This window comes from Homo sapiens, chromosome 6 (genome assembly GCF_000001405.40).
Source record: "Homo sapiens chromosome 6, GRCh38.p14 Primary Assembly".
Taxonomy (NCBI): domain Eukaryota; kingdom Metazoa; phylum Chordata; class Mammalia; order Primates; family Hominidae; genus Homo; species Homo sapiens.
Genome location: NC_000006.12, coordinates 126,140,901 through 126,155,013, shown reverse-complemented (window position 1 = coordinate 126,155,013; position 14,113 = coordinate 126,140,901). Strand labels below are relative to the sequence as shown.

At 36.5% G+C, this 14,113-nt stretch overlaps 1 protein-coding gene across 24 annotated transcripts in view; it reads right to left on the bottom strand.

Annotated features, from left to right (window-relative positions):
- Nucleotides 1-14,113, bottom strand: part of TRMT11 (tRNA methyltransferase 11) — a 285,804-nt gene that overhangs the window by 117,330 nt on the left and 154,361 nt on the right. The window lies entirely within an intron of this gene.

Here is a 14,113-nt window from a genome sequence, read left to right as displayed (position 1 = left end):
CCCCACAAGGTTCACACACACCAGTGAGGTATGGAAAATGGAAGGCCCCATGGACTGTCATGGGTGATGCAAAGGTGCTCAGAACCTAGGTCTAAAACAGTCCATCAACATTGATCAGGAATCTCAAAATCAAGGGTGCACGAGCATCAGTTATAGAAATTAGTAGGATGCTCAAAAGATCAGTCCATGCTTGGACCAGGCAAGCCCAGGCACCACTGGGCCAAGACCTGCAGGAACCAGGAGGACAACAAAAAAATCAAAGTCATGTCCCTGCCTCACTGCCTGATTGGAAATGACTTTTCCCAGTGTTCCCAGATGCCACTGAGGAAAATGGAAAGAAATTCTTCCAGATGCCCTTTACTGAGAAGTGGCCGGGCTTTGAAATGAACAATAACTAAAATATTCAATTTTGGCTAAGAAAAATCAACTGGATCAAATTGCTACTGGGCTAGAAGAAATGACATTATCTCCTCTAAGCATAACAGAACCTCAAGAGTATAAGTTAGATTCTAGAAAAGAAAACCACATTTCTCTCTTCTTAAGTTGTGATGTGTAAATTTCTACGTGCTACAGTAAAACTTTTCCATACAAGGGTTCATGCTATCACCCGTCAGAAAGTCACTTCATCTTCTTTAAACTTCTGCTACAGACACACACACACACACACACACACATACACACACACACATATCTTTATTACTGATACCTAACACTAACAGGACAACACCATCATAAAAATTGCTAAGAAAACTAAATGTCACGTTCAAAGAAAATTTAAATCTCACAAGGTTTATAATTCCATGTATTAGGTAGCAATACACTATAAAGACTGAAAGCTTATTTGCTAAGTGGTAGTGGAAAGAACTTATTTATTACAAAATTAGGGGGCTTTTAAAAAGTGGCAGATGTCAAGAAAAAAGTTTTAACTGCCAGTAACCAATGAGTGGCATACAGTCTTCCCTATGCTAGTGGTACCAACGTGGAATAAATATGCCTGGCATCTGGTCTCAAACACGTAAGACCGCACATGGGGGCCTCAGTGTCAATGCAGTGAGAATGACTCACTGACAGTAGCCCAGCCTGGGTATGTCAATGAAAAAGGAATTCTGGCTGCACATTGGATCTTTTCAGGCACACCCACACACATGGTTAACAATCATCAACACATCACTTAAAAATACAATGTGCAAAACATGCAATGCAGCATACATTGCTTAAACAGTTAAATTAGACATTAACAAGACTGATGTGGTGAGTGGATACAGAATGACAATCTGAGTGGTCTTTTCCTACTTTATTATCTGTGATGTGGTTATGTGCAGATTTGGTTTAACAAGTTTATAAACAAATCAATCTGCCCTTGGCAACTAAGAGATTAACCCAGCTAAATAAGGAAAGCGCAACCTCTAAATTTCTGTTTGGCAGAATTTTTTAAAGAATGGCTTAAAGTGACAGTATCTTCTTAGTCATATACTCATATTTTACACTATAATTTACTTTACAATATGTGATAGTCTTATGTCAAGTGAACGTACACATTGAAACTTGGCTTTATTTTTATAAAAATCTTGAAACTAAATTAAATGTCTCAGGTTAAAACTAAGTCAGACAACTTGTTTTCAGTTTACTTCAATGTCAAATTTTGCCTAATGGTTTTCACCATTGTTTAGACCAAAACACACTTTAGGGAAATGTTTAAGTGTTTTGTATGTAAATTCATTTTATTATCCTTAAATAAAAAGTTATTAGCCCTTTTAAAATGAAATAAATTATTCCAAAACTGTATAAATAATGTCTGTATAAATTATGTCATAAATGTTATAGCCTTCTTGAAGGGAAAACATTCATGAACTTTCATCCTGGAATGATATTTCCAAGATATAATATTATTGAACAACCGCATAGATTTTCAGTGCTTCTAATGCTGTGGATCTTTGAGAGGTACCTACATGTTTAGCAATTATCTGGAATTGTGAAAATAATCTAGCATTATTCCCTCAATTTTGCAGATGAAGTATCTGAGCGTGTAAGAAATTCCATCACATTCTTCTGGTCAAAAATGGGTTTAGACTCCGGGTCTCTGAAAACCAGTGTGGGAATTTACAGTCTCTCCCATAACTGCCTCAGGTTGGATTCCTACCCTGTCTTCAGGACTTGAATTGCAACAGCAGTGACTGAGGAAGGACAGCAAGCACAGTGAATCAAGACTGAGTTTTGACACAGTATCCAAATCAACATGGCTTCAATCTTTCTTCCTGAGTAATACAACTAACCTAAAGAATTTGGGGCCAAATTTAGAAAGAATATTTAAAAGCAACCTCAGCTCCAGCACCACTCCCTACTCCAGCCTGAGAAATAGTTGTTCTTATTTCCTTTGTATTCAACCTTGGGAAAACAGTTAATATCATCTCTGTATTAGTTGTAATCTCTTAATCCCCATTGTCTTCTTTGACCTGAGGCATGTGTCTCCCAGTAATCTCTTCATTTAGTAATGATCATCTGCAATTTCTTCTTGTAATGCTAATAATCCTTGGATTCCACACAGGGCAGAGGGCAGTGACTTCCCAAACCACTGTCTTATCTTCTTTTCAAACACATTATCAAGTTAAAACAATTCTCTACCCACTTAGAGACTGAAGTTATTTTTGTGTCCACTATCCTGTTCTTCAACACACATGTTTTTCTCAAAAGGCTTTAAAAAGTAATAACTGTGCTGATCATGTTTGATTTTTTTTTTTTTTTTTAGCCATTTGGTGACATCACATGAATCCAAAGTGAACTAGCATGCCACAACCTAATCTGCATTTCAGGAAGTTACAAAATTTCATTCAAATTGCAGTTTAAACTTTTCTGTGTGAGGACACATACCCACTACCATACTTACCCAATCCCCAAAAAAGGAGAGAGAACTAAATAAAACAACATCAGAATACATGCTGCCTGTAACAGAAAAAAAAGAAAGAAAAGAGAGAGAGAGAAACAGAGAAAGAGAGAAAAAGGAAGGAAGGAAGGGAGGAAGGGAGGGAGGGAGGGGAGAGAGAGAGGAAAGAAAGAAAAGAAAGAAAGAAAAGAAAGAAAGAAAGAAAGAAAGAAAGAAAGAAAGAAAGAGAAAAGAAAGAAAAAGACAAGGAAGGAAGGAGAAAGAAGGAAAGAAAGAAAGAAAGAAAGAAAGAAAGAAAGAAAGAAAGAAAGAAAGAAAGAAAGAAAAGACAGAGAGGAAGGAAGGAAGGAAAAGGGTGAAAGGAAGGGAAGGAAGGAAGGAAAGGGAAGGAAGGATGGAAGGGAGGGAGGGAAGGAGGGAAAGAGAAGGGGTGAATAAAAGGGTGGGAGACAGTGGGGATAGTCTACTTTTGTCAAGAAATTGGTGATGGGGATACTATGAAAGTGGGAGGCATTTGGCAAGGTGAGAGAGAGGTTGGGCAGGTCCCACGGTGCTCAGGTCTGACCTAAGTTAACAATCGTTCCTTGGGTCTACCCTGAGCTCTAAGTGTAAGGTTATAAGTATAGTAAGGAAATTAACAATTTTATGTAAGATGTAGAAGAAAGTCAGTAATGGAGTTCCTTGGGAGAAAGAGAGGAAGGAAGAAATCACAAATGGAGGGAAGAGGAAGGGAAACTCTTAAAAAATATTGAAGCCAAATAACTAGGAATCAGGCATGTTTAGTTCTTATTTTAATTCCTCTACTTAATTGCTAAGGGAACTTAAGCAAGTAACATAACTGAGAGCTCATAAATTAAAATATGAAATTTATATAGTTCTTTCTCAAAGGGCATCATAGCGTTTTAACTAGTAATTGAAAAGGACTAGTGCCAACCTGAAGTGCTTTACATACATTTACAATATATGAAAGTATATTTGATCGATATAAAAAGAGAAAAATAACCCCAAGGTATATGCAAATGCCAGAAGGAAAAGTAAATAATATTTCAAAGGTTAACAGGTAGAAAATGAGAACTAATAATTCTAATAAATTAAAGTCCTTTCTTAAGAAATGTAATATGATGCTTTTGCTCTAGCCAACCATTTAGAAAACACACCCCAGCTCTAGTAATAGCTCTATCACTCAAAGTACACAAGGGGAAAAAAAATGGATCTACAACTTAAGGAAGCTGACGTGAAAAATAATCTTTGTAAGGCAACCATCACTCAGCCAGATTCAAGGAATAGAACATTCCTTCCTAGAAGGGTGCTGGTGACCAAATGAGACCCTAAGCTATCAGATCACATGTTAGTCAGAAAAGGAGCAAGAATTCAGGAAGAGCAATATGCAATGTATTTTTAATGGCCGCTGAAACACTAATGTTTTTAAACCAAGTTGGATAACTGGTTCTGTTTATTTGGAGGGCAGGGAGGAAGAGCAGTAAGCACAGACAATCCATGCCTTCAGGCCTGTCTCCTGAGCTTCATAGATGATAGAGAAACCACTATGCCCTCGTATTCACAAGTATTACTTGAGCACCTGCTACTAGCTAGACTCAATGCTAGGCACCACAAAGCCAGTAATGAATAAAATGGTGCTCATGCTTATGGATACAGCGATTGAGGTACTGTGATAAGGTTTATACAAACACCTAAAGATGAAACAATTTCATCTTGCTTTGTGTCTTGGTTCATTTTCTATTGTTTATAACAGAATCCCTGAAACTGGGTAATTCCAAGAAACTGACATTTGTTTCTTCTAGTTCTGGAGGCTGGACCATCCAAGGTTGAGGAGACACATCTGGTAAAATCTTTCTTGCTAGTGAGGACTCTCTAAAGGATCCCAAAGCTGCACAGGGTATCACATAGTGAGGGGGCTAAGTGTACTGATGTGCTAGCTCAGGTCTCTCTTCCTCTTCCTATAAAGCCACCAGTTCTTCACCCATGATAATTCATTAATCTATTAGTCCATTAGTCCATTAATCCATGAATGGACTAATCTATTTATGAGAGCTCTGACCCACTCACTTCTTAAAGGCCTCACCTCTCAATACCGCAACATTAGGGATTAAATTTCAACACAAGTTTTAGAGGGAAAAAGAATTCAAGTCATATCACTTGGGAAGTAAGGGTTGGGTTTTCCTATATCACAAAAAGCATCCAAGTGAAAACTACAAAATATAGTCATACTAATACAGACACAGTCCACTTTTATCTTTTCAGAAAAGGTCAAGAGAGACATTCATGAATCACTGCTGGCTGCTCAGGTGGGAAAATTCTTCAGTTGTATAGTCCTGAGCACTGCAGAATATTTGGCACTGCTGATCCCTGCCCAACAAATCCAGCAGCCCCTTAACTCAGTTAGGCAATCAATACCCTCTTCAAACACTCCTTAGTGGGGTAGCACTGCTCTGGGTTGAGAACTCCTATTGCCTTCCCTTTTTCTGTGCTTACACTAAAGTAATATGAAAACCAGTGAACCAATGCAGTGGTAAGAGCATATACCTAACTTGAGTTTGGTAAGAGGGTTAATCTCAGCTCTCTCATTTAATGTTAGGCAAGTTACTGAGTTTCACTTTTCTTGTCTGTAAATATAGATGATAATGCATACTTCAGAGGGTGATTGTAAGGACAATATTAAATAATATCACTGAAAATGTCTCACAAATTGTGTATCCCAAGGTGGATGCCCCATAAGATGACCCCAATAGAGATACAAAATAAAGAGAATGTTCCTTATCAAAATGATTCTCTTAGAAAATGATGAATAATTCTGTACAGTAAGACACTAGCTAGGACTCCATAGTAGCTACAACAACACTTAAGCTAAAATGGCTTTAACAGGCAAAGAAAACAGAATTTGCAACTGCTTAGCCAGCCGTTCTGGGCAAAACATTCTGCTTCATTACAAACCATCCTTCTGGCTTTCCAGAAACACTGGCCCTAAATCAAAAGATTAGCACTCACCAAAATGCTGTCTTGCAGATTCTGGTCATTACATTGAGGTCAAAAGTCCTACCAGATACTATCTACTTGCTTTCAACTTTGACACAATAATTACACTATGGTTTGTAAATCACAGCCACACCCAGCAGCTCATTTAATTCTCACAGCACACCTGGATGTAGTTTATAGCATCTGTCTGTAGGTAATATTAATATTATCCTCATGTTGCAGGTGAGGAAACATTCTTACAAAAGTTAACTGAATCAAGTCTTATGACAATTATAATAATAGCTAACATTGACTGTTTTAATGTTAATTGTTACATTTACTATGTCATACATTAATAATGTTAAGATATTGATAACCACTACATTTTTAAAAAATATTCACTATTATCAATCTAATCTAGTGGTTATATTAATCACTCGACTAAATGACTCTCTTTTAGTTTTTACTTCTTAAAAAACTTTGGAATAATACTATTATTAGTCTTATTAGTAATAAAAACTTTGCAGTAATACTATTATTAGTTTTACTTTAAAGGGGGGAAAATAAGCTTAGAGAGGTTAAATAACTTACCCCAGATCATTCAGCTAATATGTGGTGGAGACAGAACTTCAACCCACATCTGTTTAATTTCAAACATGCTGCACTGTATTGCCTTGCTTAAAATCCTTCTAAGTGATGCCCAGATACAGTGACCAGGGGAACCTTCATTATAGGGGCTTTCATGGAAAATAAGGTGCTTTGAGAAAGAACGCATGTAATTAAATAAATCACATAAACTGCCCCTACATTTAATTAAACTTTTAAAGCCTAAAATGCATTTGTGATATTCACTGTCATTTCTGCATTGGGTTGATATGCTCGGCCTTGAAGGAAGCCATGTGTCCTTTGCCAGGTAAGACGGTCTTCTGGTCAGAGACCTGTGGCCTGGCTAGCCAGGCTCCAGCCATGGACCAGACTAACTGAGAGGTAAACAGGGCAATACCAGGAGTGGTAGAAAGATTTAAATGAACAAATAGCTAAATATTATTTAATTTAACCTCTTTCTAAATTTTATATAGAGCATCATACAATCTCAGGAATTTTTTTTTAATTATTATACTTTAAGTTCTGGGGTACATGTGCAGAACATGCAGGTTTGTTACATAAGTATACATGTGCCATGGTGGTTTGCTGCACCCGTCAACCCGTCATCTACATTAGGTATTTCTCCTGATGCTATCCCTTCCCTAGCCCCCTACCCCCACGACAGGCCCCAGTGTGTGATGTTTCCCTCCCTGTGTCCATGTGTTCTCATTGTTCAACTCCCACTTTTTTTTTTAAATGCCTTCCTAATCTTGCATCTAGTTGCAAAGAGAGAAATGCTGGGTTATGTTTTTAACCTGCTTCACTTGTAGAATTTTAAACAGCCCTCTGGCTCTCCAGTGATTTCCTCTTCTTTTTAAATCCCCACCTCCACAGCTTCCTTCACAGTCTGTGACTATGAGGGAGAGTGAGGACATGAGGTAAGGTACCGCAGGGACGAAGCATTCCAGTAGCACTTACTGCAGTTGACCACTCAGTACAAATTCCTTAATACATGGACGAACAGCCATCATGAACACTAGATTGTGTTTCCTGGTTCGTGGAATGCAGCTTTTCCTTAGCAATTTGATGTTGTCTCTAGGAATATAAACTCTCAATTCTCCTAAATATAAGCACTTCTGCAAACACAGCTCCCCAGAATTAATTCCAGAATTGTGCACTTTCAAAGCAACAGCTGAATAGTAAACCAAGATTCTTAGAGATTTAAAGTGACATGACATCATGAGCATGTTTATTATTTTGGCACAGGTAACAGCTAAAAAATGAAATGAGATTCCATAAAAGGATACCAATAAAAGGGGGGAAAGAGAACGAAAAAATCCACAAAAATAGCTCTAAAACTCTATAGTCTTTTGTTATATGCTTACTCATACTTTTTCTCCCCTGACCTCCTCTTTTGAACCTTAAATTCCCTTTTGTGTCTTTTAAATTCTACCTACTCTTCCAGGCCCAATTCAATCCTCACCTCTTCAGGAAGGTCATCTTATCCCCACTTGCTGAACTGCTTAAATCTTTCCTTAACCTGAGAGCCTACAATTGAAAATATGACCATCACCATAGAGTTTAGCACTTCAGTATCCTCTAGGTAATTAATGCCTAAGTATTTTAACCCCTAAGCAGAATATGAGCATCTTGACATTATGTCTAATAATCACTTTTAGTAGAAACAATATAAATAATTTAGTAATATCAGTAGTTACTACTTATGGAGAACTTAAGCACAAATAAAATGTCATTTAGGCTGGGCGCAGTGGCTCATGCCTGTAATCCCAACACTTTGGGAGGCTGAGGCAGGTGGATCACCTGAGGTTAAGAGTTCAAGACCAGCCTGGCCAGCATGGTGAAACCCCGCCTCTACTAAAAATACAAGAAATTAGCGGGGCACTGTGGCAGACACCTGTAATCCCAGCTACTCGGGAGCTGAGGCAGGACAATTGCTTGAACCTGGGAGGTGGAGGTTGCAGTGAGCCGAGATCACGCTATTGCACTGCAACCTGGGCAAGAAGAGTGAAACTCTGTCTCAAAAAAAAAAAAAAAATTTCATTTAGTCATCACAACAATCCTATGAGGTAGATGCTATTAAAACCTCATTAAACATATCAAGGAACCAAACTACAGTTAGAATATCAGTTCGATAGAGGAAGAGAGTTGGAATTTGAATCCATCGCCTAATCCTGCTGCTACTTTTTCCTCTGGAGCAAATAGGCCAGAGTGTCACACAAAACATGTCTCATGATGAGGATACTCAGTGTCCATATTAGAGCTAGGCAACTTCTGCTGGAAAAGGTGGGAAATTTCCAAATACTGGATTATGAATGAGACTGAATTCATAAAACAAGACGCAACTGTTCTACTGCTTCCTTATTTTGGAAAAAGGCCAAAAGTCCAAATTATCCCAAAGGTCACTGGCAGATGCACACTTCCCATCATGTATATTCAAACTGAGTCACTGGCTTGGAAGAAGGCAATCATTTTGTCTTTTTCCTGAAGGTTAAGTTCTCCCAGGATTCTGCAAAAGGACCAAATTCATATCTCTTCATGAAATAAAATGTTTGAGATAAAATAATCCTGTGGGATATTTGCCAATGAAATACTAAAAGCACAAAGATGATGGATTAATATGAACCTTTGGTCCACCTGGAGATTTATTTTTAAAATATCAGATTTTTAACCTGTAGAAAGTAAAAGGTTGAGGGCAAAATGATAATATAAAACATAAAAAAGGAGCTTAAACAAAAATTTAAAATTTAATTTTAGCTCAGCTGAATGGGAGAAATAGAGAGCTAGAGATACCCAATTATACAAAACATAAAATGGAAATCCAGAGAGAAGTAAACAGACACAGTAGATAAAGTGACAAGGCTGTTGAAGAACCCTGAAACGGCTGCTGAAAACGACTAGGGTGCTGACCATGGAAGTCGTTACTGACCTTCTCTCCCCCTCTCCCACCTTCTCCTTACATTACTGGGGAGTGCCTTCTGGGAACAAAATGCCTGGCAGGAGGAGCAGCAGTGCAGCCAGGGCTATGACAAGGATAAATTGTCTTTTCTCCACTGGGTGCCTGGCGCTAAATGGAAAGTTGGCTGTAAATATCCCATAGCCCCCTCTCCTTTTCTCTCTCTTAAGACTACTCCCAACCTGCTAGTCCAGCGTTCTCTGTCGTTCTTTTCCAATTTGGCTCCTGCATCTTATTTTCTACCATTTCTCTGTGCTCTCTTTCTTTTTCTACTTCCCTCCTCTGTCCTAGGGAGTGAGGGATGGTGAAGAGATTCAGCATCCCAGCACCAATCTATTAAAGTTCCAAAATGCTCATTCACACTTAATGTAAGTGTAGTGTTTGGTTAGTGTTCTAAAATCTGTTGATTCACACCAGGTTGCAATTTCTTTTGACCTTATCAAACCATTTCTTCTCATTTCTGCTTTCTAGAAAGACTTAGTAAATGATATTTCTTTGATCTTCTCTATTTTCAAATCACACCTATTTTCTTCCTATAGTTACCCTAATGTCTAGGACCATAGAGATATAAAACTTTCACTGGCAGTCTTTAAAAAGTAGGATGGAGATCTATATTTATTGGCATGGAAAGGTGATCATTTTAAGTGAAAAATTATTTTAAAGCACAACAGTATTAAAAAGTCATATATTAAAGAACTTAATTGTATAGAAAAATCAGGAGGTCTGTTTAAAAATCTTGAAAATCTCTCTGTAGGAATTTGGCTTTTTTCATCTTCCACATCTTCTCAAAAAATAATTTTATAAAAACATACATGCATAGCTTGATTCATCAAAAACAAATAAACAAGAGAGAATTAAAAAGATATTAAGCCTTTAGTACCTTCCTGACAAGGAAGAGTGTCTGAGAATCAAATGGGCAACAGGGAAGCAGAGTGAAGGGATGTAGACATCTGTCTGATAAGAAAAAAAGGGACAATGTTTGGGCAAAAGTGAGGGATATTGTGATTCATTGTCTGCAAAGCTTTGGGGAGAGGCAAACTACTATTTATTTTGGGGAAAAGCTTTTTAGTCATAACAGTGGCACCGGCCATACAAACTGCTTCCTGCACCCTCATTAGCTGGTTCTAAGTAACTCACATAATCCAAAAAGGAGAGAAGAAAAAGTCTGGGCAGCAACCAGGACAAGAGCAGAAAATGCTCTTCCCAAGGAACACGGAGCCTGGGTTACGGTTTTAGTGAGAAATGAATTCACGCCAATTTTTTCCAATTTTAGCTTCCAAATAAGAACCTCCAATTTGGATGTTAGCCCTGTGGAAGTGATAATAGCCCCATCAAATTCCCAAGAGGAAACAGCTATAGAAATAAAAGGAAAACACCACAACAATGTTTAAAGCTAAGGAACACAAAAACACTGGTCTGAGCTTTACAAAACGGAACAATTGGCCAAGCAAAACCTAAACTTCAGGAGCACCAGACCGTGAAATGGAGAAACAATGCATACTCAAGTGGGATTGAAGACTCAAAAGCAGCTATTAATTCAAACAAGATCAAAACAGAAATCAATCTATTCATGTGACTTCCAAAAGATCATTAAAAACTAATTACTTTCTGTCTACCTCAATTGCTTTGTTGCTTTAACTGGTAAATTGTTGTCCTCACTTTCTGTCTAGATGGCTGTGGAATAAAGCAGTGTGTTCCAATTCAGATCACAGTGAGTCAAGCGGCCCCATCCTAGAGCCCAGACACTAACTCCAAGTATTTCTAAGCATTATAACAGATGCCCCACTTATCAGCACAAAGCTTATGTATGCAGCCAAGCAACACTTGGTTACATAAAGCAATGTCATGAGTTTTTCCAATTTCACAATAATAAAGAATTATAAAAAACATGCTGAAATTTCTCAAACTTATAGATCTAATTTAATTTTTTTAAAAACCAAACCCTTCCTTTCAAGGGCTATGGTCAGTGATTTGGCATGTTTCTTCCGTGTTGGTAAATTAGTTCTATTGTTCAGAAAAAGTCTAAATGACAATAACAGAGACAATTCTTAATTCTTTTCCAAATCTGATGAAATTATCCAAAAATAAAAGAAAAAGAAAATCTGCAGCTCAAGCAAATTTACTCTGTCAAGGGACCTTTCTTTTAGATAAGTATTAGCTTTCAAAAAACAACTTCTAACAATATTAATTTTATTTGATCTTAATAAGTAATCTCATTTTTCTTTCAACCTAAAATTTTCCATTTATCTTCATTCAAAATAAAACTCCCAATATTCTCCATACCCTTATGTATATATGGCTTCTAGGAGAAGATTCAAGCTACTCTTAGTTGTTTCATAGGAAGCTAAGGGCCTTTCAGTGACCCACAATTATATTTGTAAAAGAACAAATGTTAATACTCAGAAAAAAATTATTTTTTGGAGTCCTATTTGCACAGGGACTTAGAAAAATGACCAAGGATACATGTGGTGAAACATGACAAGGAAATATGTGTTAAAATATTAAGAACTTTTTTTTCCTGAATGTCTATTTATTCTGATTTTGAGATAAAATACAGTGTATACAACATTAGTGCCTGAACTAATATTTTCTTTTAAAGGAAATGGCTTATATATCTTTAGCACTCTATAATTTTCAAAGTTTATTGCATATTATTTTCTCATTTAATAGTCACAAAATTTCTCTAAGACGGACCTTTTATTTGAACAGATACTTCTTCTCATTCTACAGTTTAGAAAATTGAGACTCAGAACATTTATGGGAACTACCAAGGTCAGATATTTTCTGAGAAATGGAGCTGGGGACATAACAGGAGTCTCCCTGCTCTCAGCACTGTTAATATAGCTATTGAGCAAAAGAGGAATTAATAGACATTAAAGTTCTTTTAGGTGTCAGACAGCTTACTAGTGCTTTACAAAAACATTTTATTTTATCTTCACAACAGCCTGATGAGATTAATATTATCATTCATGTTGATGTGTCTACTAAAATTCAGAAATTGTGAGTGCCTTCATCAAATTAATACAGCTAAAATATAGCACAGCTCAAATTCTAACCTGGGTTTTCTGACTATAAATTCATGTTCTTTCTGTTATTTCTTAACGCAATTTCTACCTACAAATCAAAAGTTACAATTAAGTCATTTAGACAACTCCACTCATTTATTTAAAAATAAAATATGTGATAGTGATGTTCAGAAATTATAATACAAATACAAATCAAACTCAAATGCCATGAAAGTGATCACAATATATCTGATATTTGTGCCCCCCTCTGGTAGAAGCATCTCTCAAGGATGTGGAATTGTTGGGCTGAAAGGTCTGCTCCTTGCTCTATAAAGCAATGCAAATATGACTTTCTTAATCACTCCTCCCCTCCTCTCTCCAGTATATTATTTATTCTCACTATGTATCACACATCTTCTTCTCCAGGGATGAAGAGTTAGGTAAAAGACAGAAAATCTCCTAATCACAAAAAGTCTGGAAACTCCATCAGTAAAAATGTACATTTATTGCTGTGTGACACAGTTTAACTTTATTGAGGAGAATAATGCAAGGAAGTATAAAAAGGACACAAACCTCTAGCCACTTAATCTGTGTCTTCGATTTGAAATTTTAAGACAGTAAGACAAATGTTCTTATGAGGAGAAATTGGAAGCACTTTCCCTGGTAGAGAAGGAAATACTTTAAAATTGACAAGAAAATGGCAAGGACAGTTGAGACAAAGTCTTGAAATAGTGAAGTCTTAATGCAAAACTATGAGAAAGAAAATATTATTTAATTAACTAGACTTGACTTCACTTACGCTTAGAATAAAAAGCATTTATTAATATCTTGCAAAGAAGGTCAAAGATAAAGGCCAGAACTGAGCAAATGTTGCTAAAGAGAAGTTGTTCAGCTGATACTGAATATACACCATATATAATCTCCTTTTCCAAAATAACGGATTTAAGTTGGTTAACTGTGTCCCAAACTTAACAGAATATATAGTTCAGGTTCTTGACCTCATCTCCTGACCATTCTTCTCACATCACCTTCACTGGCCTGCCAGGCTTGGTGGACTTGGAGTAGATAAATTTATCTTTCTGTCAATTTTAATTTTTGCAACAGCAGTACAACCTATATATTCATGCTTGAATGATATATTCAAATTTGCTACTTTCCTACAATTACAGTAAGACAACAAAATCATTCTCACTGATTTAACATGTGTGTGAAAACACAAATACTTTTGACTATTTAACTTATTTGACTGATTACATTGATTAAAGCTGTAACTAGCTACATGCAATCACTTAATTATTTGTTCATTTTATTTTTAGTTAAGCTGACAGGTCTACTTGTTTGATAACCAAAATTAGACAAAATAGTCCATTTATGCTTTATCCTGCTAATTAATTAAGATGATTAGAAATAGTCCAAGCCCCAGATTCAATTATAATTACTTACACATAGAGGAAAACTCTCTTATTCAAATTCACAGTTTGCTAAGTACGTTTTCTCTAAAGCAAAGGGCATATATTAATACAAACTTATCCCTATAACTTAACACACACAAATGTTGTATGAAGACCAGTAGAGTCATTATGTACTTTAATATAACTACCCTCATGAGATAGCTATTTGTTATTTTCTATTTCACTGGTGAGGAAACATGGAGTTTAAGAAAATTCGAAGCATTTTTTAATTCTATGATTCCTG